Here is a 25,006-nt window from a genome sequence, read left to right on the forward strand (position 1 = left end):
AATACCGGCATGCGTGCGGATGAGGCCTCTTTCCCTGCCGCCGCCGAGTCGCGCGGAGGCGGAGGCTTGGGGTAAGTTGAGCGAGGCGGCAGGGGGGTGTATTGGTTATAATTTGTGGCTCGTTGCGTTCTTGCTGGGATTCGTGACGAGTATCTGGTTCTTTAACAAGTCAATGCTTTTGTTTTTTAGTGCGTTCAAGATTCAACTTCACCCGTAACCCACCGCCATGGCCGAGGAAGGGTGAGCCCAGGGGCCGGGGTTGGAGTTGGGGTCGGGGTGCGGCTGAGGCGTGGGGCTAGAGCTGGCGGAACAGGACTGGGTCAAACGGGTCGCCGTAAGCGCGTCTGTTGTACACTTAGCTTTTGCTGAGTGCAAGGCCTTATGTGGTGTGAGGATTTTAACTGATGGTTCTGATGTGTCGCGTTTAAGCATTGCTGCTGGAGGTGTAATGGACGTTAATACTGCTTTACAAGAGGTTCTGAAGACTGCCCTCATCCACGATGGCCTAGCACGTGGAATTCGCGAAGCTGCCAAAGCCTTAGACAAGTACGTGTATCAGTCTCAATACTGTGGGTTCTTGCAACCGGAACAAAACTGCCACCCAAGGGAAGAAGGCATGGAGTTCATGGTGTTAGCGCAAAAGTTCTGAATGGCATCCGTCCTACCGGAAACCTAGGAAAAGGTATCAGAACTCAGATCTATAAAGCCCACTTAAAATGTGTGGGTTGCTGTTTGGAATGGGGATAAGCACTCAAAACTACAGTGTTTGAATGATGACTTTAATTGTCGGATACCCCTTCACTCCTTTTATGAGTGAAACATAAGAGTCTGACAAACCTGTAGGTTGTGGAGCTAGTCAGTCTTATACTTATCTGGCAGATAGATGAGATGGAGAGCCACATTACATCTGGTAGTTTGCAAAACAAGCATTAATTTAATGGAATTTCAAACTCAGGTTTCAGAAGCATTTGGTCCTAGATGAATTTAGTAGTATAATAGCTGTGATTTATTTGAATTTGGGATATTTGTTAATGTATTTGAATGGATCGAGTTAATGTGTTTTTTAGGGTGGTGGCATTGACAAATCAACCTACTCTTGAGCTGAATTTAAATGCAGTTTTAAGGTTTTACAGGACAAGTTCGTTTTGGTGTAATCTAGCCAGTTCAATCCGATGGAAACGGCATTATTGTTTAATGTATTTAGTAGGTCCTAGTATGAGTCTTCTGTATTTCTATTTCGGCATTATTGCATGGCATTTCATAACTGTTCCATTAATGCCACAGTCTTTTTTTTTTCTTTTTTCTTTTTTTTTTTTGAGACAAAGAGTCTTGCTCTGTCCCCCAGGCTGGAGTGCAGTGGCGCGATCTCATTGCAACCTCTACCTACCAGGTTCAAGCGATTCTTCTGCCTCCCGAGTAGATGGAATTACAGGCACACGCCACCATGCCCAGCTAGTTTTTGTACTTTCAGTAGAAACGGGGTTTCGCCATGTTGGTCTCTGGCTGGTCTGGTACTCCTGACCTCGGGTCATCTGCCCCCCTCGTCTTCCCAAAGTGCTGGGATTACAGGAGTGAGCCATCGTGCCCGGCCTTTCACATGTTTCTTTAGGTATATGAAGCTGGCTTACAAGAAAGCTATTATGGTTGGGTTTTGGCCAGAAGTTTTAAAAATGACTTACACCAATTCAGTGTGTCAGGGACAGAGGTTTTACTGAAGACCAGTTGTAGGTTAATTGAAGATGTATATGCTCCCTAGCAGGTTCTTCAGACTCAAGCAATTTTGTACGCATTTATGTGTTCAGTGGATTGGCTGCTTATGTTTCGCAAGTGTTAGTGCAAAGATAACCCTCCTAAAATGCAAGAATGATGGATTTGGATCTGAGTTTTAGCTCCATTTTCATTGTAATTTGAATTTCAGGCGCCAAGCCCATCTTTGTGTGCTTGCATCCAACTGTGATGAGCCTATGTATGTCAAGTTGGTGGAGGCCCTTTGTGCTGAACACCAAATCAACCTAATTAAGGTAAGGCTGCTAAGGATTGTGTTGGGACTAATGTTCAGTGATGCTTGTATATGGGGGTAAATTCTGTGAAGTCTCAAGCTGTTCATTTTGTGCAGGTGTAAACATTACGTGCACCTGATACTGTCGGCCATTTTAAAGATGATTGTAGGTAGAAGCATTTTATACCTGCAGAATTGAATCCTAATTTTGACGTTGGTATACAACAAAGATTAGTAGCAGGCTTGTAGGTGATCTTAGTGCTGTACATGATGACAACTGGCTCCCTCTACTGAACTGCCATGAGGAAACTGCCATGTCACCCTTCTGATTACAGCCACCTTTTGGGTTTCATTTAATTTTGGTAGTGTTAATGTCTATTAATGTGATTTTTTTTTTTTTTAACCTTTCTCCCAATAGGTTGATGACAACAAGAAACTAGGAGAATGGGTAGGCCTTTGTAAAATTGACAGAGAGGGGAAACCCCGTAAAGTGGTTGGTTGCAGTTGTGTAGTAGTTAAGGTAAGTCACCGTTTATTCTAGGGATGAAGGTTATGCTGGGTAATCATATAAAACCTTGTATTGAAATAAGTTGAGGATCTTATAAAAGGAAAAAACTGATTCAACAGGTTTAAAGCATTTTCTGCATTTCAGGAAAAAAATAAAAGCTGTAATTTACAAGCCAGCCAATGAATCTGCTTACCTGATTGTGTTTGTGCAGACATACTTTAAAAACTGGCAATAGTAAAGCCATGTTACGAGCCTTAAGGACATTGAAGTCGTTAAGGTCCCTGAGAATGGCTATAACAAATCTTAGTGATGGGAAACATTTTTATAAGACATAGCTAATTGTTGAAGCTCCACTATAATTGATACTAATAGCTTGGTGAAATTCCTAAATATTAACAAGAAATTGCATGCGTGTTTTGTTTTTTTTAAGGACTATGGCAAGGAGTCTCAGGCCAAGGATGTCATTGAAGAGTATTTCAAATGCAAGAAATGAAGAAATAAATCTTTGGCTCACATTCCTCATGTCTGGCTTTTTATTTGGGGCAGTAAAATAAGGTCCCTGTTAGCAAAGTAAAATGTAATCATCGCAAAGTGATTGCTACAGATTAACTGGAAACTTGCTCTCAAAGTCTTCTCCCCAGCCAATGACTGCATCATGGGGCAATTCAAACCTGGACAGCCTTAGCAAAGATAGGTCTGCCATGCAGTGTTGGTGATGGCCAGGATTACTTAGCTATGGGCATTTATCCCTCACTAGACTAGCCTAGAATTTGGAGAGAGAGGTTGTGTTTTTAATAGATTGCAGTCTATGAAAGGACAGTGAGTAGACTTGCTGGGCAGGTTAGTAGAAAGTACACAGTTGGGCCAGGATCATATCTTGCATGTGGGACAAGTGTTATGATACCCAGGAATGCTTGTGGACATTCGTTTGACTTCTTTGGTTGGAGACGGAGTTTCACTCTTGTTGCCCAGGCTGGAGTGCAATGGCGCAATCTTGGCTCACTGCAACCTCTTTGTCCTGGGTTCGAGCGATTCTCGTGCCTCAGCCTCCCAAGCAGCTAGGATTACAGATGCCTGGCAATTTTTTTGTGTTTTTAGTAGAGATGGGGTTTCACCATATTTGGCCAGGATGGTCTAGAACTTAGACAGCAGGTGATCCACCAGCTTCAGCCTTCCAAAGTGCTGGGATTACAAGTGTGAGCCACCATTCCTGGCCTTTTGTGCAGGAGCGAGAGGGGCTTGAATGCACCCCAGTCCCTAGAAATCGCAGTGAGAGAAGCCATGGCTGGTGTTTGGTGTATTTTAAACTTGGATAAAGGTACCGTTAAAAGAATGTTGTGAGGCCATATACTTGGCCAATCCTGGTTTTGAAGACTATACCAAGGTTTTTCTTTGCGTCTTAAACCTTGATTGAGAATCTCCGAGTAGGGTCTCCCGTACTGGTTGGTTTGGTAGTTATAGCTAAAGCTGGTTGACCTTAGCATGGTAGTGACATTGAGTACCCTCATGGAAAGCAAGGAGCTCTGAGAGATTTTTTCTGAAGTGTGTATAACCTGGAACTGTGTGTTAACATTGAAATTGTCAACCTCATGTACTCTGGCTTTTCTGAGGAAAGTTCACTTTGAATTCTAGTTTCCTTGTATGACCAATCTATGTAGACATTTTTGAGTGCCTGTTGCATATTTTTTGGTGGAGATGGGGTTTCACCACATTGTCCAGGCTCAGATTTTTTTGTTTTGTTTTGGTGTTTCCATGTCCACTGTCATCTCAGCTGCAAAACACCAAAGTCAGAAGGAATGTTAATCTCCCAAGTTTTTTTGTTGTTTTTGTTTTGTTTTTTGAGACAGTCTTCACTCTGTCACCCAGGCTGGAGTGCAGTGGCACGATTTCAACTCATTGCAACCTCTGCCTCCAGAGTAGCTGGGATTACAGGCGCATGCCACCATGCCCAGCTAATTTTTGTATTTTTAGCAGAGATGGGGTTTCACCATGTTGGCCAGGCTGGTCTGGAGCTCCTGACCTCAGGTGTTGGATTGGCCTCCCAAAGTGCTGGGATTACAGGAATGAGCCACTGTACCTGGCCCCAAATCTAACCTTGAACTCTGCATCTTCCCTTACTGTTGCTCTGTGTTTGCTCCAAGTCATTAAAATGTCTCCATCCTCAGACTTTGTCGGTTTTCTGGCTGTTGTCCTCCAGCAGCTTCTGGTCAAATGCAGTGGCTCAATCACAGCCTTTTCCTGACCTCCAGGATTTTAAGTACTGTTGTGTTAGCATTTTGACCTTTACCACATTTCAGTTCTTTCTCTTATTCTGCCTGTGCTTTCAATTGTAATAGTTTCCAGAGTTCAGGTGAGCATGTTTGCTTCTCTGCAGCCTTCCTGAGACATTCTCCCACTCCCACAGCTTCCCCTGATTCCCAAGTCTATTTTGTTTTCTTTGATCAACTCTAAGCTGTACCAGACAATTTCCCAAGGAAGACCCACTTGCTCTTCAAATTTTGCGTGCCTTGAAGTGAACTTTACCATCACTAACATGTTTTTGTTAGAGGAAAAGAAAGCTGACTGTGTGGTATGCACCATACTGCATTCATTATCACTTGTTACTGCGTACCACTTTCCCAAGCCAAAGGCCTTGGCATCCTCAACTCCTACCTGCGCTGTATAGGTCTTACTACTGTCAGTCTCATCCAGATGATTTTCAAGACATGAGTCACTCCACTCCAGTTACTCATCCAGACTTCTGAGTTACAGTTATTGAAAAGTGATCATGTCCATCTCTTCATAACTTTGGTTTGTTCTGTTTGAAGTACCTCTACTTTTCTCCATCTAGATATCTCCTACTCATTCTTCAAAACTCAGTGCAAATGTAATGTCGGCTTCAGAGTGTGATTTGCCTGTGTAGCTTATATGGAATTCACTGGGGAGCCCACTGAAGCAAAAGTGCCAGGACAGAAGCAGATGTCTTCATTGTTTTATGGGGGAAAATTGTTTTATGACATTGGTTGCTGTGTGTGCTCAGAATCTTGTTGAGGACATCCCTCATGAACCCAAAAGGAGAGCTGTTTGAGCCTAGCACTTGATGTTTTCTTGCACCCATGGACAATGAGACTTGTGACTGCCTGTTTTCTTTGGCTGTAAGAGCCTCCAAATGAAAGACTCAATTTTCTTTCTGTTCTTTATTCTTTTTTTTTTTTTTTTTTTGCCTCATTGTGATTTTATTAGCGTATTCTATGTATTTCTGATAAACCACTTTAAATGCTTTAAAAAATGAATGAGAGGCCAAGCGCGATGGCTCACCCCTTAATCCCAGCACTTTGGGAGGCCAAGGCGGGCGGCTCACGAGATCAGGGAGTTTGAGACCAGCCTGGCCAACAGGGTGAAACCCTGTCTCTACTAAATACAAAAAATAGCTGGGTGTGGTGGTGGGTGCCTGTAATCCCAGCTACTCGGGAGGCTGAGGCAGGAGAATCATTTGAACCCCGGGACGTGGAGGTTGCAGTGAGACAAGATCGCGCCATTGCACTCCAGCCTGGGAGACAGGGCAAGACTCCATCTCAAAAAAAAAAAAAAACATCTAAAGAGAAATTGTAAAAAGGCTGTATTAGACTGCTGTTATAAACAAGTACTGTCAGTCTTTAACTGGATTGTTGAGGCAACAGAAGCATTACATAGACAGCTTATAAACCGTAGGAAAGTGTGGAAACATCTGCTAGGCTTACTGAGGACTAGCCCTTAATGGAGTTTGAATTTCTTTTTTTAAATGAGTTCGTTATTTAAAGAGTTGTGCTCAAGGACTATGTTAATCACAAGTACTCCTGAGAGCCACTGAGAGAGAAGAGACTATGTAGTCAAGGAATAAGGTCAGTAGCCATCACCACTCCAGGAAAAGGATGGGACAGGCTGATGGCAGAGAAGGGTACAGCATTGTCCTCCCAGCCAGGCATTTTCAGAAAGGTCAATCCATGTGCTAGAAGAACAACTTCAGCAGTAAGTCCTAGCAAAAGAGATGGCGTGGTTAAGGAGGTGACCTGGGGAGAGGCCACCAGACTCACTCAGGGCACCAGTCTGACTCACTGCTGGTGGCTTGGGATATAGAAGTATCGACACATCAGAATGTTCAGAAGGATTGGGACCAAGCCGATCCCAGGCAAAAATAAATCATGAGTTCCTTTTTGAAAACATGTTTTGACACTTCAAATATAACAGTACATCTCAATTCAAATTGCTTTATCATAAGTGAGATGTTTCAGCCAGCTCTTTTCCCAGAGTTTACAGATCATAATCTTAGTGTGTTGATAAGTTGTATTCAAATCTGGCTTTTGCTTGGGAAGGCTTACAAATACTGGGGAGGAGGATGAATCTTCCTCCTAAGGATTCTTCACCTATGTTGATGGGCAGTTTTCTAAGCTCTTCCCTACTTTGTGTAAAACATTCCTCAGAGTATTTTTTCTCCCCTTTTCCTCCTCCTCTTTCTTCCTTTCTTTTTTTTTTTTTTTGCTAAATGTTCAGTGACGGTCTTCATCACCACACTTTTAATTTGGCTTCCACAGTACCTTAGTTTTTGGAAGGAAATGTGCCAGAGAAGAGACAGAAGTGTCTTTTTGTTGTATTTTTCCATCTCTTTTGAGTTCGTTTTTTAAATATGAATTAACCAAACTGAGTGACAAAGATTGTGAAGATAGAAACCCTGGTGATCCTCCTGAGACCCTACCAATCAGTGAGGTTCTATTTGCCTTTCACTTTTTGATGATAAAGGGAGAGAAAAAAATTTTTGGTTTTTTTTTTGGTTTGTTTTTTGTTTTTTTTGAGACAGTCTCGCTGTGTCACCCAGGCTGGATTGCAGTGGCACAATCTCGGCTCACTGCAGCCTCCGCCTCCCGGGTTCAAGTGATTCTGCCTCAGCTTCCCAAGTAACTGGGACTACAGGCATGCGCCACCATGCCTGGCTAATTTTTGTATTTTTAGTAGAGACGGGGTTTCACCATATTGGCCAGGCTGGTCTCAAACTCCTGACCTCGTGATCCGCCTGCCTCGGCCTCCCAAAGTGCTGAGATTACAGGTGTGAGCCACTGTACCCAGCCAGGGAGAGAAAAAATCGTAAAGCATCAATTCAGAATGTTTTAGTTTAGAAAACCTTTATTAGGCCAATTTCAAATAAAAGAATAGGCATAGCTGTAAGTATATTCATCACAGAGCTACAATACTTTGTGTTGATGGAGAATTGAATAAAATATATGTTTACTTAATGGGATATTAGGGTGCCACTGAAATAGTATAGAAGGGCATTTGTTAATATACATGTTTTGAAAAGTAGTTGAACGTACAATAGGATAGCATTTTCTAGAAAAAGAAAAGGAGGAAATACTAAAATAATATAGAATATAAAGGGGCCGAGAGTGGTGGCTCATGCCTGTAATCCTAGCACTTTGGGAGGCCAAGGTGGGCGCGGATCACCTGAGGTCAGGAGTTCAAGACCAGCCTGGCCAACATGGTGAAACCCCATCTCTACCAAAAATACAAAAATTAGCTAGGCATGGTGGCAGGCGCCTGTAATCCCAGCTACTCGGGAGGCTGAGGTGGGAGAATCTCTTGAACCCAGGAGGCAGAGGTTGCAGTGAGCCAAGATCGCACATTGCGCTCCAGCCTGGGCAACAGAGGGAGACTCAGTCTCAAAAAAAAAAAAAAAAAAAAAAAAAAAAAAAAAAAAAAAAGAATATAAAGGTACATGCTGGCAGAGAAGACAGGTTGGAAGGGTATACATCAAGGTGTTAATGTTTCTAGGAAGGTTTTCCATTTGCTTGTTTTCTTTTTCCTCTAATCAACATGTATTGCTTTTGAAGTAAAATATTTATTTTTATTTTTTAAAGGAAAGTTTACTTGGAAGAAACCCAAGCAGGCACTGAGAAAGAAGGCCAAATGCCAATAAAACATTTTAAATTAAATGAAATAAAGATACAGTACATTCTTGGGGTTAATTTTGAGTGCCATTAATAATCTTTTTAAAAATTTATGTTTTGTGAATCAAGTGAGTTTATATACTTGTCTGTACTTTAAGTTGTAAAAACAAAACTGCTTAAAACGAATGAATTCATGCCTAGCCAGCAGAGGGCAGTAAGAAACTGATGCCAGCTGAGGGACAGGTCAGTGAAAAACAGGAAGACAAGGTAAGAAGCAGGGACTATAGCAGGTTCACCCTAGGAAAAGATTCTTATCGCATTCTGTGAAGATTTTGAGAATTCTGTTTGTAGGAATAGAGATTATAGGATATTGTTGAGCTTAGTTTACTATTTCTGGTTGCATTTATTTGCTTTTTACAAACTGTTATCCATCATTTGGATTGAGTTTAATGAAAGCTTCCAATAATAATAACAATACCAAATTAGCCTTGCTCTTAGACCATTTACATTTAAACTTTTTAAATACTAAAGGACATTGGCATTAATTTTCTAACTCACATAACATTATTTCAATTAGTTGTAATTTTAAGTAGTTAAGTAGTTCAAGTTTTTTTTTTTTTTTTTTTTTTTTTTTTTTTTTGAGACAGAGTATCGCTTTGTTGCCCAGGCTGGAGTACTGTGGTGCGATCTCGGCTCACTGCAAGCTCCGCCTCGCGGGTTCACGCCATTCTCCTGCCTCAGTCTCCCGAGTAGCTGGGACTACAGGCGCCCGCCACCACGCCCGGCTAATTTTTTTTGTATTTTTAGTAGAGACGGGGTTTCACCGTGTTAGCCAGGATGGTCGCGATCTCCTGACCTCATGATCTGCCTGCCTCGGCCTCCCAAAGTGCTGGGATTACAGCCGTGAGCCACTGCGCCCGGCCAGTTTAAGTTTTATAAATGATATCAATTAGAATTCTGTAACCACCAGTGGACACTGGCTGTTTTTTATCTTTCTTCCAAGGTTACTAATTTTGCTCAATTGCAATATATATGTGTGAAATACAAATAAATTATAAAAATTTAAACCGTTGATTTTCAATGTTTTCTCCACCATACTGAGAATATGCCTAGAACTACCCGAAGAACAAGTTTCCAGAGAAAGCCTATTCTGGAAAATGGGCATAATTTGGAGATGATCAAGGCAAGGGGTATACTTTGGAGATTAAATTCTCCACACCATAGCTCCATGGAAGCATCATCTATGTTCTGAGCCTTTATCTCCCGTGCCTAGGACAGTGCGTGGTGTAGTAGGAACTCAGATATTTCAATTGTTTGTTTGTGGGCTTTCTTTTCAGTCTTAAACTCCTCAGCCTTTTTTCACCCTCTATTTTTTAAGGTTCCTTTTCCTCTGGCAACGAAAGTAAGTCTCTAGGTTGGGCTGCTTTGAGTCGAGTGTGGAGCCAAGCTGTCTCAACTTCCTTTCTCTCCAGCTCCACTCTAGGGAGCAGGGCATAGAAACATATCCTATCACAATATGGAGTACATGGCTCTAAGAAGCTGAAAAAATACGTTTAAAGGCCATTGTGAGACCTGGGAACAGTAAAAAGCATGTGAATTCAGAGAAACTATTTTTACATTGCAATAAGTTCTTTTTTGAAGCTTATTTATCGAGACATATGCCAACAGCACGGAATTATATGAGTGATGTGAATTAAACCTTACACAAATGTAGTATTTGTCTTTTTATTTTTCCTTCTCTCAACTACCCCCAACTAAAATTTACAAATGGATATAAAAATCCTGTTTGTACTTGGTTGGCTCGTTAGAGAAATACCGAGTCAAAGGTCTGTGATATTTCACAGTGCTGCCCCCAGGTGAAAAGAAGCAAAATGCACATTAAAAAAAAATAAATATGAGATCCATAAGGGGAAAATAAAATATTAGCATATAAAATGCTACAAATTAAAAAGCCTGCCTTCTCCTGTAGATTTGAAGCTGGATAAACTTGATGGATTCTAGGAGTCAGCAGATGTTTTGCTAAATGGGTACATGTTGTGTCTTGCAGGGAGGTACTTAGCCCCACGAGGGTCGTAACGTGATGCAGCTATGCCACTCTTTCAGGAGGAAATACACATATAATTTAAGAAGAAATTAAAACCTTTTCTACATTTCCCCACAAGCTTCATTTTGAAATAAAATTATCCTTTTCAAAATATTATATTCCAAATTTCTATCATGTGAAGACTCTAGAAAAGTTTACTCTAAAATAATGAAAATGATAACATAATGTGAACGATGCTAAAGTGCAAAAGCAGAATTCAGAGTTGTATGTGAAGAGGAAATGATATACAATAAATCTGTTAGATTTTTTAGTAGCATCATCAAGGCATAAAAGGCGGACTTGTCATATTAACTTTGTTGTTGCCTAGTGTTGTCTCGTGAAGTGAGTCTCATTCAAAGTATTTTGGGTTGCACTGCTGCCTTCTGGAAATGCTCGGTATAGAATACAGGACAGATGAAGTTTAACAGTCACTTTGGTTTGACACTACTGTGTTGGGTTGCAGTAAAAATAAAACCGATAAGAAGTGAGCTGGTCTTCAAATAAACTTCTATATTGCAGTAAAACTGCGAAGGTGTTTCTCCTGTCATAGCAATGGGCAACAACACGACCTTTTGTGAGTCAGAAACCTGCCTGGCCAATGAATCCAATACATCCCAGTACGGGACACTTTTAAAGTCCGTGTTCAAAGTTTATTTGCAGCAAATGGAGGTAATGCTTTAAAAGCAGAAGTATTAGGCTGGGTGCAGTGGCTCATGCCTGTAATCCCAGCACTTTGGGAGGCTGAGGCGGTGGGCAGATCACCTGAGGTCAGGAGTTCAAGACCAGCCTGGCCAGCATGATTAAACCCTGTGTCTACTAAAAATACAAAAATTAGCCAGGCACGGTGGCACATGCCTGTATCCCAGCTATTCAGGAGGCTGAGGTGGGAGGATCACTTGAACCTGACAGGCAGAGGTTGCACTGCAGCCTGGGTGACAGAATGAGACTCCATCTCCAAAAAAAAAAAAAAAAAAAAGCTGTATTTCTTGCTGGTGTTGGGGAGGAGGCAGTGGGAAAAAGAGACAGAGAAAGTGAGGGAGGGATGGAGAGGGAGGGAGACAGAGGGAGAGAAAAATGTTCAGGTCACTATAAATTAGTACAGAGGATTCTTGTTATTTTTTTTGCCCCACGCTGGTGATTTTCTCAAGTTAAAAAATGAAAACAAAATGCCAGCATTCACTTTTTATTTTGGAAATTCAGCTTGATGCAATCGTTAGTTGAAAATAAATATAAATAGGCCGGGTGCGGTGGCTCATGCCTGTAATCCTAGCACTTTGGGAGGCTGAAGCGGATGGATCACGAGGTCAAGAGATCGAGACCATCTTGGCCAACATGGTGAAACCCCATCTTTAATAAAAAGACAAAAATTAGCTAGGCGTGGTGGCGGGTGCCTGTAGTCCCAGCTACTCAGGAGACTGAGGCAGGAGAATCACTTGAACCCGGGAGGCGGAGGTTGCAGTGAGCCGAGATTGTGCCACTGCACTCCAGCCTGGCCACAGAGCGAGACTCTGTTTCGAAAAAAAAAAAAAGAAAATGTAAATAAACTGAATATTATCTGACTGATTCCACTTTCACTGCATTGGATAGAACTGAGTAACTGTTTTCTCTGGAGATCACAGAAAGTCTCAATTGAAATAGCATTTTATTGAAGTGAAAAGAACTTACAATCATTGTCAGTTCACGGATTTGTACTTGTGCTGAAAATCTTTAAGGCAGCAAATAAAATGTTCCTCTACCTGTGCACTTTAACTCTATTCTCCTACTAAGACATTCTAATTTGAAAATTAGGGCCGGGCGCGGTGGCTCACGCCTGTAATCCCAGCACTTTGGGAGGCAGAGGCGGGCGGATCACGAGGTCAGGAGATCGAGACCATCCTGGTTAACACGATGAAACCCCGTCTCTACTAAAAATACAAAAAAATTAGCCGGGCATGATGGTGGGCGCCTCTAGTCCCAGCTATTCCGGAGGCTGAGGCAGGAGAATGGCGTGAACCCGGGAGGCGGAGCTTGCAGTGAGCCAAGATCGCGCCACGGCACTCCAGCCTGGGTGACAGAGCGAGACTCCGTCTCAAAAAAAAAAAAAAAAAAAGCAATATATTTAATAATATTTATATTGCCTTATCTAAATTGGAAGACAAACAAAAAATAATATATGTATATTATTTTATTTATTTGTTTTTTCTTTTGAGATGGAGTCTTGCTCTGTCACCCGGGCTGGAATTCAGTGGCATGATCTCAGCTCACTGCAGCCTCCACCTCCCAGGTTCAAGCGATTCTCCTGCCTCAGCCTCCCGAGTAGCTGGGATTACAGGCATAAGCCACCACACCCAGCTAATTTTTGCATTTTTAGTAGAGACGGGGTTTCACCATATTGGCTAGGCTGGTCTCAAACTCCTGACCTCAGGTGATGCACCCACTTTGGCCTCTCAAAGTGCTGAAATTATAGGTGTGAGCCACCGTGCCTGGCCCCAACATATAAATAATATGTAAATAATAACAAAACTCAGTAGAGTTGAGTGGAAGATCATGTAAGCCAGCTCCTTTTAACCTTGTTCTGTGATTCCAGAATTCTATAGACTCTTTGATTTCTACTTCAGTGACTTGATAATAATAGTTAAATAATTGTGCAAATAAATAATGGGGATTTATTTTATAATAACATCTTGTTATCTTAGGGGATTCCCAAATTGCTTCATTTTTTATTTTAGTCTTTTGAAGAGAGTCTACCATGGTGGAAGGACTCTTACATAATACAAGGGTTTATTTAAGACTAACCATTTAATATAAAACAAGAAGGTATATTTATGTTTATGATGATCATTTCCCAAAGTTAGCTTATTGTTAAAAGATGCAAAATTCAGGGAATTAAAGCAAACAACCCAAACTATTATAGTATTCTTCTTAATGACATAAGTGATCTTCTTTAATACTGTCACCAAAGGTAAATAAATATTAATGACAATTGTGATTTTCCTGAGTGTCAGCAGCCACCTTGTCTCTATTATCATTATTGGTTTTGTTATTTTCTAGAAGTAATTATATGGCCAGACCAAAATGTGACCTTCCTACTTTCTTTCCTGTGTTTCTGGAGAACATGCTTTCTCTTGCCTCTAGAGAATTTAGGCCTGATGTGACAATATTTTTCCACTGCAGATTCTACTGGAATTAGAGTCTGAGGTTTTTCTGTTTTTTGTTTGTTTGTTTGTTTTTTTCTTGAGACGGAGTTTCACTCTGCCGCCCAGGCTGGAGTTCAGTGTTGCTATCACGGCTCACTGCAACCTCTGCCCCCCGAGTTCAAGCAATTCTCCTGCCTCAGCCTCCCAAGCAGCTGGGACTACAGGCGTGCACCACCATGCCCAGCTAATTTTTTTGTATTTTTAATAAAGACGGGGTTTCACCATGTTGATCAGGCTGGTCTCGAACTCCTGACCTCAGGTAATCTGCCTGCCTTGGCCTTCCAAAGTGCTGGGATTACAGGTGTGAGCCACTGCGCCTGGCCGAGTCTGAGTTTTTAAGATGGAAGAGATTTGAGAAATGGTCTAGTTTGATTCCTTCATTTTCCAAATGAGAAGATAGAACCCCAAGTTCCAGGACATGACCCAAGAAGCCTTTGAACATTGGGTAAACTGACTGATTATAGGATTTGCCATTTTGTCGAATATTAGAATTGTTTGTATTTAATATAAGTAGAAGGATTATTATTATTATTATTTTTAGACAGAGTCTTGCTCTGTCGCCAGGCTGGGGTGCAGTGGCGTGATCTTGGCTTGCTGCAACCTCCACCTCCCAGGTTCAAGTGATTCCCCTGCCTCAGCCTCCCAAGTAGCTGGGACTACGGGCACACACCACCACACCCAGCTAGGTTTTTGTATTTTAGTAGAGACAGGGTTTCACCATGTTAGCCAGGATGGTCTTGATCTCCTGACCTCGTGATCCACCCGCCTTGGCCTCCCAAAGTGCTGGGATTACAGGCGTGAGCCACCGTGCCCAGCCCTGAAGAATTATATTTTATAAATTGGTAGGTAGCTTCCACAAAAGGCATGTAGAGATTTGGAAGAAAACTGTTTATACAAAGCTAAAACTCAAATGTACAAACATAGTATTCCATAAGCCATTCATTTGCAATGCTCTGCACTTCTGAGGTTTGCTGTGCAAAAACTGTGCAATATTTTCCTGATCTCTACTTATTTCGTACTATCCAGACCAACAACAGTGGTTCAGCATGGTGAATTCTCCAGAAAGAGGGATCTACAACACTGAGTCTTGTCAAGCCTTCAGTAGGGGAGCAACACAGGTGAATTAATAAGGCCAAGGAGACACGTTTAAAGAAAAGGGAAGAGAAGGGGAGCTATTTGCCCAGAAAACAGTGATTTGAAGAAAACCAGTCTGGAAGTGTATGATGAGGGTACATTTTATAAAAGATTACAGCAGCTGCTTTGCCTTGCCATGAAATAAACAAATAAGAATTAATTTTTAGAAGCGGTTATAATAACTTTAAATGAGGAGTGTTGCTACCTATAATTGATTGTAAGGGGAATTGGGCTTTTAAATATAATACTGGGTTAAGTACACATTCTTCTGAGACCCTGTCAGCAGAATGCTGATGTTTGTAATTGGAAAAGAGAATGTCTCTTAAGGATCTCTTTAACTAGTCAGCCTAAAACACAGATTCTCATCCTCAACTAGAATGCTATTCCTATTCACAAAAACCTGGGGAACATGATCACATTAATGCCCAAGAGATTTATAGCAAGAATAAGAGCAAAAGAAAATCTATGTATTTTTGAAGACATGGACTTCCCTAGTGGATATGTTTTCAGATTCTAAGAGTTAGAGGTAAAAATAAATTTTTAAAGTTTATTTTTTTAAAGTTACTTTATTATTTGTATCTACTTTGGTAAAATTCCAAAATAAGACAGTGATTTCTACTGTTTTGGTTAACTTTTGCCTTCCTCATACTCTCTGTGAGTATTCTAAATTTGAGACTGTTGGTGATAAATCAATTTCCTGAGAACACTTTAGCTAATATTAAAACTTAATATATATGGTTATTATTTTTAAAGTTTACTTTTTTCATGTTTACATTGTAAAAAATAAATGACTGAAATTTAGGTAACATGAGGAGAGCAATATTCTGAAAAATGAGGTGAAGTACCAATTTAATGTTTAGATAAGGACCAAAATTTCTTTAGAATAACTTTTATTTAAAGACATATCAAATTTAAGACATTATTATGACATTGTCAATTTGAATAAGATTGGTTTTTAATCTATGGCTAGAGAAAATTTATAAAAGAGCCAACAGTCTCTAGTTTGTAGTTTTATCCAATTTTACTTTTCATTCCTTTCGAGGGTAATTTCATTACATTCTATCCAGCAAACAGGAGATGGCAGCATTACTTCAGCCGTTCAAAAAGACACTCAATCCCTTCTGAAAAGAGAAGGCTGGGAGCTGATGGAGAGTAGAGATTTAGCAGCAGGTGCTACAATGTACATAGAACAGAGGAATGTATGTTTCCTATGTAGGGTACATAGGAAACAAATGTGAAATAAAACTGTTTAATGCCTCTGAATGCTGCAGATTTTTACGCATATTTTCCAGTGTAACAGGCCCTTCCCCTGTAAAAGTGAAATGGGTCAGATGTTGAGATTTTTATGGGATTTAGAAAGCTGTGCATGCATAACAAAGAGCTTGGCTCTACAGCTGTAGGATTTTTAATCTCTGTTTTTTTATGGAGTAGTAATTTTCTAAGAACACTAGACACTCATTTTCTTTATTTCTTCTCAAATTTCTAAGCATACATTAATAATAATATGGAACTTGGGTCTCAGGTCAAAAAAATACATACATGATCCAAACTACTGATATCTGCTACAACTGTTAATGCAGGAGATAAAATATTAGATTGGTAAATCCATGGACCTCAAGGCCTCAGCTCGTTTTTCATGTCAATTGGATACCTCTCCTTGAGGAAGCAACTTCTAAGGAACACAGATCTGTAATATACAAACTGGGTTTATTTTGTTGAATTTTTTTATATATCTGTAAATAAATTTACTTATGTTTTGTTTGTGAAAAATTTGGAATAGTCTTTCTTAGCTTCTTTCAGGAAATCTAACCAGCCACTTGGAAAATCAAAAATTTTATTAACTTTAAGTAAAAGAAGAGAAATAAAGGCCTAAATAGAAGTTTCCTTGATGCTGATATTAGACCTTTAACCCTGGTTAAGGAAGAAAAGATTCAAAGAATTATTCAAAAATTCAAAGAAAAGATTTAAAAATTGTCTCCATTCTTTGAATGGAGACTTGCCTTCCAGCCTTTATCTTCATTTTAAATTCTATATTCTTAGGAGCCTTGTTTAGGAGATATTTCTCCAAACCCTATTTTTAAAATGTGGATTTTTGTTGTTCATTTTAACTAACATCTGAGCTTTAATTTCCTCATATCTGCACATAATCTGCTTCAGGCTATGATTGCTTTTTTTTTTCTCTTTTGAGAAAGCAACCTTTCCATGTTGGCATAAATTTGACTTGTATGTACTAAGCAGAACATTTTATTAATATGCTAACCATTTTTCCATTAAAATCCAAGGCTATCACATACATAAATATAGCTTTTATGGGTTCACCAGAGATTCAAACGTGAACCTGAAATTTAGTCTACCACTTGGCAGCTTATGTCAACTGGCAGGGCTACTATATCAGAAATAATGACTTGAGTGTGAGTTTGAATAAATGAAAACCATAGATGTTTAATCATAATGCAGTCAGAGGTTTATCCTGGGCTCCATAAATAGTGGGGAGGGCAAAACTGATCTTGAAACATTTTTCACTTTTCTTTTTCAATATGTTCTGCCTTCTCATTAAGTAATTGTGAACAAGGACACTGGTACTAATTTTTAACCCTCTTTGACATGCTAAGGGCTTTAAAATGTGATATTTGACAGAGTCTTGGTCTATTTGTAGGGCCAACCACTGAGCATCAGATTGGAGATTCTTATGGTGTCCATACTAAGGCCTTTGAAAAGTGATAACTCAGAGAGGTGAATGCAAGGGCTTTTAAGATGTCTGTGTCTGTACCTGTATCTGTATCTCTCTCTCTTTCTCTCTCTCATTTTGTGGTTGGTCAACATACACTGGCTTTATAGTCAGGGGAGCTTGGATGTGAATCCTGCTTTGGCAGTTACTGATTGTGAAACAACAGAGAAGTCATTTCACTTATATGAACCTCATGTTTTTTTCTCTAAAATAGTTATAATAATACCTGTCTCATAACGTTTTTGTGAGGATGAGATGATATGTATAAAGTGCTTTTGTCCAGTGTCTCAAACATAAATAATGGTGGTTGTTATTATGATACAGAATTATCAGAGCAAATTTAAATGTATATAATATTTTTAAAGAATACAATTTGTTTACTTTTTCTTTGCAAAACCCTACCCTATATAAAGATAGTTTTAAGATCTGTTAAAAGTCAAATATTCCCTATAGAATAGGTTATAACTTTTAGTTACACAGTGCTTGAGACAATGTATTTGTGTAACCTTCTCCGAAAAGTTTTATAAATAGCTTTCATAGGCCATGGACTTTATTAGGGTCCCAGTCCTAAGGGGTCTATAGAAGCCTGTCTAAAGATTATTTAGAAAGATTATAGAAAACTGTTCAGTCCAATGGGTGTTTATATCTGTTCAGACCCTTGCTCTTGGCTTCAGCTCTCAACTGTGGCTTTGTGCCCCTGTTGTTAAGCGCATTGATTGTAGCCACTTAGAGCTGTTGCTGCTCTGAACAGCATTGCCCAAACAGAATATTCATTTTTGCACACTATTTACTGAGTGTTTAACACAATGTTTTACTTTATGTAGAATTTTTTTTGTCACCTAAGAAACAAAACGAGTTTAAATATTTCATTTAAATATTTCCAAAGTCTAGGCCTTCGGCCTTGGAAGTTCTTTGACGTTGAGTCCTTTGTGTTTTCTTTCAGTTACAATTCAGGTCTTTGAGCAATGAGGTCAGATAATCTTGTTCCTTGCTCTTAGTTCTTCTCTGCCTGCCCTTTCTTATCTCTCCCGGCCCCTCATTTGTACAGCCCAAATTAGCCTATAGATTGCATCTTTGGTTAAGAGTTTCTCGAAGGTAGGGAACACACTTCTTATGTGCTTTCCTCAATGGCTAATTAAGATATTTCGTTCAAAAGTACTTAAAATGAGGACATTAATATGATCTATGATCACATTTTCTGTGTTGGGGGTGCCAAATACTATTTGCACTGACAAATATGATTAAGCTAAAATGGGGGCTCTTAATTCTGGAAACATGATAATTGAATACTGTAACAGAGATGATGAATAGTACAGATTGAAAAAACAGTCTCCCATTACCATTTAGGTTAATCCATCGAATAATTAAATAAAAAATCTCCTTTACATATGGAATAGACAACACATTACTCCAAGAGATGATATATGCTGAAAAGGGAAAGATTTGAATAAGTATAGAGGAAAGTTGTAGAATGAATAATCAAAGGAAGCCGCATATTTTGAGTGTGTCTCTATACTTTAAGGCTAATGTCAGCCGCCGCCATCTTGGGATCTCTGCCAAGATTGAGCCATCCTACTGGACTGGTAGGACCCTGGCTTTGACAGTAGGGCTGTTGTTATGTTTTCGGGAGTAACAGAGAATAGAATTGCAGTTTTAATTTTAAAATTATTTTGTCTTTGTCTCCAGCACCCTTCATCATCCTTACCTAATAAAACCCCTGTCCTGGTTCATACAACACTTCTTCTCATCCATTCCTGCACCACACAGCTGAACATTATTGCAGAAAAGCACACAACCAAGCCAACTTGTTTCCTCTCAGTGTATAAGGATGTAGATAGGAGGTTAGATGTGGAGGTAGCAACTTGGGAATGTTATTTCCTGATTTTTTTTTTTTTTTTTTTTTTGAGAGGGAGTCTTGCTCTGTTGCCCAGGTGGAGTGCAGTGGCGCAATCTCGGCTCACTACAAGCTCCGCCTCCCAGGTTCACGCTATTCTCTCGCCTCAGCCTCCCGAGTAGCTGGGACTACAGGCGCCCACCACACGCCCAGCTAATTTTTTTGTATTTTTAGTAGAGATGGGGTTTCATCTTGTTAGCCAGGATGGTCTCGATCTCCTGACCTCGTGATCCGCCCGCCTCGGCCTCCCAAAGTGCTGGGATTAAAGGCGTGAGCCACCGCGCCCGGCCTTTCCTGATTGTTTTTATTTTCTCTCAATGGAATAAGGAAGTAAGCTCATTAGCCAGAAAGAGGATGAGGGAGGAGGAGGTGGTGGAGATTTTAGGTGAAAGGAGGGTGACAGAGTAAATAGACAAAGCATGTGATCCTATATTCCCTTAAGCTGTGGTCCTAATTTCTTGATTCCTATTTATAGCAAAACTCAGCAAAAGAGTTGTCTGTTCTCCCCATTGTTAGCTCCACTTCCAGTTGATCTTGAACTCACTTCAATAAGGTATTTGCTGTCAACATTTCTCTGAAACTTGTCTTCTCAAAGTCACTGGTTATTTCCATGTTCCTAAATTTAATGGTTCATTCTCAGTCTTTTAACTTTCTTGACATCTGGGTGGCATTTGACAGTTGATCACTCCTTCCTCTGTGAAAGACTTTCTTTACTTGCCTTCTAGAATCCTCTACCCTTCTGTTTTTTTCCTGCTTCATTTGCTTCTCCTTCTCAGTCACATTGCCAATTTCTCCCCTTGTCTCTGTCCTAAATATTGCAAACTCAGGTTTCCTTCCTGGATCTCTTCTTTTTTCTATCCACACTCACTCTCTTGGTGATTTTATCCTTATGTATGTGGAGGGCTTCCCAATTTACATCTCCATTCCAGACCTTTCCCCTAATCTCCAGGTGCATGGACTTAACTGCTCACTTGACATTTCTACTTGGATGTGTAACAGGCTTCTCTAATCAAACTTCTGATCTTTCCTCAAAAAATTTACTCTACTCCTAACTCTTCCTTATTACTCTAAGGACAACTCTTTTTCCTTTCTTTTCTTTTCTTTTTTTTTTTTTTTTTTTGAGACAGAGTCCTGCTCTGTCGCCCAGGTTGGAGTGCAGTGGCGCCATCTTGGCTCACTGCAGCCTCCGCCTCCCGGGTTCATGAGATTCTCTTGCCTCAGCCTCCTGAGTAGCTGGGATTACAGGTACACACCACCATGCTCGGTTAATTTTTTTTGTATTTTTAGTAGAGACGGGGTTTTGCCATGTTGGCCAGGCTAGTCTCTAACTCCTGACCTCAGGTGATCCACCTGCCTCGGCCTCCCAAAGTGCTGGGATTACAGGCATGAGCCACCACACCTGACCAACTCTACCTTCTTAATTGCTCAGGCCAAAAAATTTGGAGTCATTCTTGTATCCTTTCTTCTCTTATACTCCATAGTCACCTCTGTCAGCAAATCTCGTTGGTTTTGCCTTCAACATTCAGTCTACATGTGATGATTTCTTACCACCGTTACTGCGTCCATTCTGGTCCAAATCACTATCATCTCTCTCACTTGGATAACTGCAATAGCCTTCTAACCCCTTTCCACCTTTGACCCTGACATTCTGTTCTCCCAAACAGCAGCCACAGGAATCTTTTGAAAACCTAAACTTATCATTTTACTCCTCTGTTCAAATCCTCTAGTAGCTCTCCATCTCACGCCGAGTAAAAGGCAGTCCTTAGAGTGGCCTAATTCAATCTGACTGTCTGCTGCCTCTATAACCTTTTCCCCTACCTTCCTCCCTCCCTCACTTTACTTAGCAACAATGGCCTCCTTGCTATTCTTTGATAGTACCAACCATACTCCTGCCTCAGAACCTCAGGACTTGCTGTCTCCTCTGCACAGAATGGTCTTCCCCTGTGTTTCTGCATACCTCACTCCTTCATCCCCCTCAGATTTCTGCTCAGATGACACTTAAGGAAGACATTCTCTTGATCATCCTAGCCTATTGAAAATAGCAACCCCTCTTTGTACTGACTCCTTTCTATTCCTAGTAACGAACCATAGAAATGATCCCTGAAATAATAGTCTTAAGGCTCCTTTCTTTCTCCTCCTTCCTTCCTTTCTTTCTTTCTTTCTTTCTTTCTTTCTTTCTTTCTTTCTTTCTTTCTTTCTTTCCTTTCTTTCTTTCTTTCTTTCTTTCTTTCTTTCTTTCTTTCTTTCTTTCTTTCTTTCTCTCTTTCTTTCCCTTCCTTCCTTCCTTCCTTCCTTCCTTCCTTCCTTCCTTCCTTCCTTCCTTCCTTTCTTCTTTCTCTCTCTCTCTCTTTCTTTTTTTTTTTTTTTGAGATAAAGTCTTGCTCAGTCACCCAGGCTGGAGCGCAGTGACGCGATCACGGCCAACTGCAACCTCCACCTCCCGGGTTCAAGCGATTCTCCTGCCTTAGCATTCCGAGTAGCATGGATGGTGTGCGCCACCATGCCCAGCTAATTTTTGTATTTTTAGTAGAGACAGGGTTTCGCCATGTTGGCCGGACTGGTCTCCAACTCCTAACCTCAGGTGATCCACCCATCTTGGCCTCCCAAAGTGTTGAGATTACAGGCGTGAGCCACCGCGCCCGGCCTCCACTTTCTTAAGTTGTCTCTGTACCATTCACCACCATTTGACACTCTGTATTTAAATTACTTACTTGTGTATTATATATTTTCCTCTGTTAAAACATAATTTTCATTTTTATAGAGAGGTAAGGAAGGGCTTCCTGAAGAAGTAACTCTTTAATTGAAACATCAAAGAGGAGGAGAAATTAAATAGGCCCAGAGAAGTTTCTTCCAGGCAAAGGGAAATACACATGCATAGGCTTCCTTTTGTGGGGGGAAGCAGGGTGAAGACAAAAGAATAAATAAGGCCTCACTCCCTCACATTAGACTCCTCAATGACGGCTGAAATTATGGCCACCAGGAACTCTCAGGCTCAGCTCATCACACTCATGACCAGAAAGTAACTCAGTGTTAGTCTCTCTGCTTCTATGTTCATAAACTCTAGAGAAGGACTTGGATGAGCCCTCTTGGGTTAAGAGACGAATGGGAGGAGTGGAGCAGTATGTCTGGTCCAGCTTGGGTCACTTCTTCACCTCTTAGACTGATCCCTGTGGCCAGGAATGTGGAGTCGATAAAAAGATGGCAGCTACCCCTCAAGCTTCATGTTAAATCGTGGAAAGGTACATTTCTCCCCACAAAAATGGGGATGTAAGAATCAAGAGGGAGGCTGAGGCGGGCAGATCATGAGGTCAGGAAATCAAGACCATCCTGGCTAACACAGTGAAACCCCGTCTCTACTAAAAATAGAAAAAATTAGCAAGGCATGGTGGTGGGCCCCTGTAGTCCTAGCTACTTGGGAGGCTGAGGCAGGAGAATTGCGTGAACCCGGGAGGCGGAGCTTGCAGTGAGCCAAGATCGCACCACTGCACTCCAGCCTGGGCGACAGAGCGAGACTCCCTCTCAAAACAACAACAAGAAAAACAAAAAAAAACCCTCAACGTCAGGCCAGATGCAGTGGTTCATTCTTGTAATCCCAGCACTTTGGGAGACTTGAGGCCAGCAGATCTCTTGAGCTGAAGGGTTGGAGACCAGCCTGGGCAACATGGTGAAACCCTGTCTCTACAAAAAAATACAAAAATTAGCTGGACATGGTGGTGTGTGGACTTGTAGTCCCAGCTACTCAGGAGGCTGAGGTGGAAGCATTGCTTGAGCAATTGATTGAGGTCAAGGCTGCAGTGAGCCATGATCACACCACTGCACTGTAACCTGGGAGACAGAGTGAGACTCTGTCTCAAAAAACAAAACAAAAAAAACAAAACAAAACAAAAAACAAACCTCGACATCATCTCAGGCTTGTCCTTGGTAATTTTTTTTCTTGCTTCTCTAAATCCATTCTCCAACTTTGTGGGGAGTCTGACCTGAATGAACTGCACTCATGAGCATCTCTTGTGTTCTCCCAGTTAGAGGCACTATCAGGGTGGGAAGTGGGTGAGGCCAGGGTATTTAGTCTCCAGGCTTCCTGCTGGTTCAACTTAGTCCTGTAGGGCTGTAGGGCAGCCCCTATACTCTCCAAGGGTAGTAATAGCTTTTTTGCTGTTGCTAGTCCTGGAATCCTATATCATCCTGCTGTTTCTTCAAACCCTGCTTACTCTTTTTGTAAACAATTCTTTTATTAAAATTTGCTCAGTTATCCAGTTTAAATATGCCATTCACTTCCTGTTTGGACACAGATTGATATACAAATACAGGATATTCTAAAGGAACAATTTGGGAAAGCTAAAGAAGATAAAAGAGAATTTGCTTTTGTACAAATTCTGTAAAACAAACTGCAGAGACAAATCAGAGGAGACTGAGGTTCTAATGCAAAATTCCCAGCAAAGAATGAAACTAGACATCTGCAAGTAGAGAATAAAGCAGGCTGGATTTCAAATGGTCAAAATCCATGCTGATCTATGCTGATCATAAACATGGAAAGATGAATTAGGATACATTTTGGGGAAGTTTACACACTGATGATGCCCTTTCTGGAAAATTAAGTTCCAGCCAATCAAAGGTTCATAGAAAGGTGATGATAATAACTCACTTTTTCTATTTCCTTGGCAGTACACCCTCCAGACCCAAAATCTCTTTCATTGTTACATTTATTTAGCAAGTGCTGTGATTATTGCATGATATTTATTTGTAAAATAGGATTGACAAATGGGCCACCACTGGTTCACCTGTATCAAGAAAGAGCTCGAAAGAGGAAGACATCTGTGTAGGATAAATGAGAGGACACTTAGATAGCCAGAGAAACCCAAAATAAACAGAAGGAAAAAAAAATAAACCTGCAATATCGCAACATTTGGGAAGCAATTTATATACCAACTCTGCAATGGTAGAGGAACTTTTGGGAGAAAAGTTAGCATTCATCTATGATGAAGAGAGCGGGCTGGTTACTCAGGAAATCAATACAGTCTTTAAACCATGGCATAGTTTTTTAAATAAGTGTGCATTAATCTTGCAGTTGTATTTGCAAGTATGCACAATGCTCATGGATCGAACATAAAGAAGAAATTATTGTAATGTCTTAACTTAGTGTTGTACCTAGCAAAGGGCTTTGCATATTGAAAATGCAAGCATTAGTTGAATGAATAAATGAAAAAAATTAATACACTGGAAAATGAGCACTGACCTAAACTAGCATATCAGTAAATTAGCACTTTTGTTCTCAGTGTAATGTTTTGCTTACTGTTGTTTTGATTGGGTTCTATTAATTGATAATAGTATTTATTGGGCCTATTAAAGATATATGTTTAGCATCTGTTTACCTTGCTAAAAGTTAATTGGTGGGAATTCAAACACCTTTTGGATCTATCCCTATAGGAATTACAGACAAATCTATTAATTTGTTAATCATTAATATGCAGCCATTGGACATGTGCATGTAAATATACAAACCAGATGCTCATGTTGTCAAGTTATTGCTTGTTTCTAGTTTGGATCCTGAGTTTCCTTGGCCACCCTAACCTGAACAAAAGTGTAGACA

The 25,006-nt window shown here is 40.5% G+C and overlaps 1 protein-coding gene and 3 non-coding genes across 4 annotated transcripts, besides 3 other annotated features; all 4 read left to right on the top strand.

Annotated features, from left to right (window-relative positions):
• On the top strand, nt 27-3,022 carry RPS12 (ribosomal protein S12). The gene is made up of 6 exons (NM_001016.4): nt 27-71; nt 190-240; nt 430-546; nt 1,919-2,021; nt 2,418-2,519; nt 2,938-3,022. The coding sequence occupies exons 2-6, from the start codon at nt 227-229 to the stop codon at nt 2,998-3,000; spliced, it is 399 nt and encodes a 132-aa protein (NP_001007.2). The 5' UTR covers nt 27-71; nt 190-226; the 3' UTR covers nt 3,001-3,022.
• Nucleotides 363-492: an enhancer, noted in NCBI's record as "active region_25078". NCBI's record gives its function as "activates an Ori minimal core promoter by ATAC-STARR-seq in GM12878 lymphoblastoid cells {active_cell/tissue: GM12878}" and the evidence as "EXISTENCE:reporter gene assay evidence [ECO:0000049][PMID:35858748]".
• SNORD101 (small nucleolar RNA, C/D box 101) lies at nt 765-837 on the top strand. Its single transcript, NR_002434.1, has one exon. It is a non-coding gene; the product is annotated as a small nucleolar RNA, C/D box 101 (small nucleolar RNA).
• Nucleotides 2,260-2,335, top strand: SNORD100 (small nucleolar RNA, C/D box 100). The gene is given in 1 exon segment (NR_002435.1): nt 2,260-2,335. It is a non-coding gene; the product is annotated as a small nucleolar RNA, C/D box 100 (small nucleolar RNA).
• SNORA33 (small nucleolar RNA, H/ACA box 33) lies at nt 2,677-2,809 on the top strand. The gene has a single exon (NR_002436.1). It is a non-coding gene; the product is annotated as a small nucleolar RNA, H/ACA box 33 (small nucleolar RNA).
• Nucleotides 4,957-5,006: an enhancer, noted in NCBI's record as "active region_25079". NCBI's record gives its function as "activates an Ori minimal core promoter by ATAC-STARR-seq in GM12878 lymphoblastoid cells {active_cell/tissue: GM12878}" and the evidence as "EXISTENCE:reporter gene assay evidence [ECO:0000049][PMID:35858748]".
• Nucleotides 6,276-6,345: an enhancer, noted in NCBI's record as "active region_25080". NCBI's record gives its function as "activates an Ori minimal core promoter by ATAC-STARR-seq in GM12878 lymphoblastoid cells {active_cell/tissue: GM12878}" and the evidence as "EXISTENCE:reporter gene assay evidence [ECO:0000049][PMID:35858748]".

The sequence above is a fragment of the Homo sapiens genome, chromosome 6 (assembly GCF_000001405.40).
Source record: "Homo sapiens chromosome 6, GRCh38.p14 Primary Assembly".
Lineage (NCBI taxonomy): Eukaryota > Metazoa > Chordata > Mammalia > Primates > Hominidae > Homo > Homo sapiens.

Excerpts from the sequence above, each read along its gene's own strand:
- RPS12 (NM_001016.4), top strand. Across the intron at positions 547-1,918 it reads GCTGCCAAAGCCTTAGACAA|GCGCCAAGCCCATCTTTGTG; the intron begins GTACGTGTATCA and ends TTTGAATTTCAG. Across the intron at positions 2,022-2,417 it reads ACCAAATCAACCTAATTAAG|GTTGATGACAACAAGAAACT; the intron begins GTAAGGCTGCTA and ends TTCTCCCAATAG.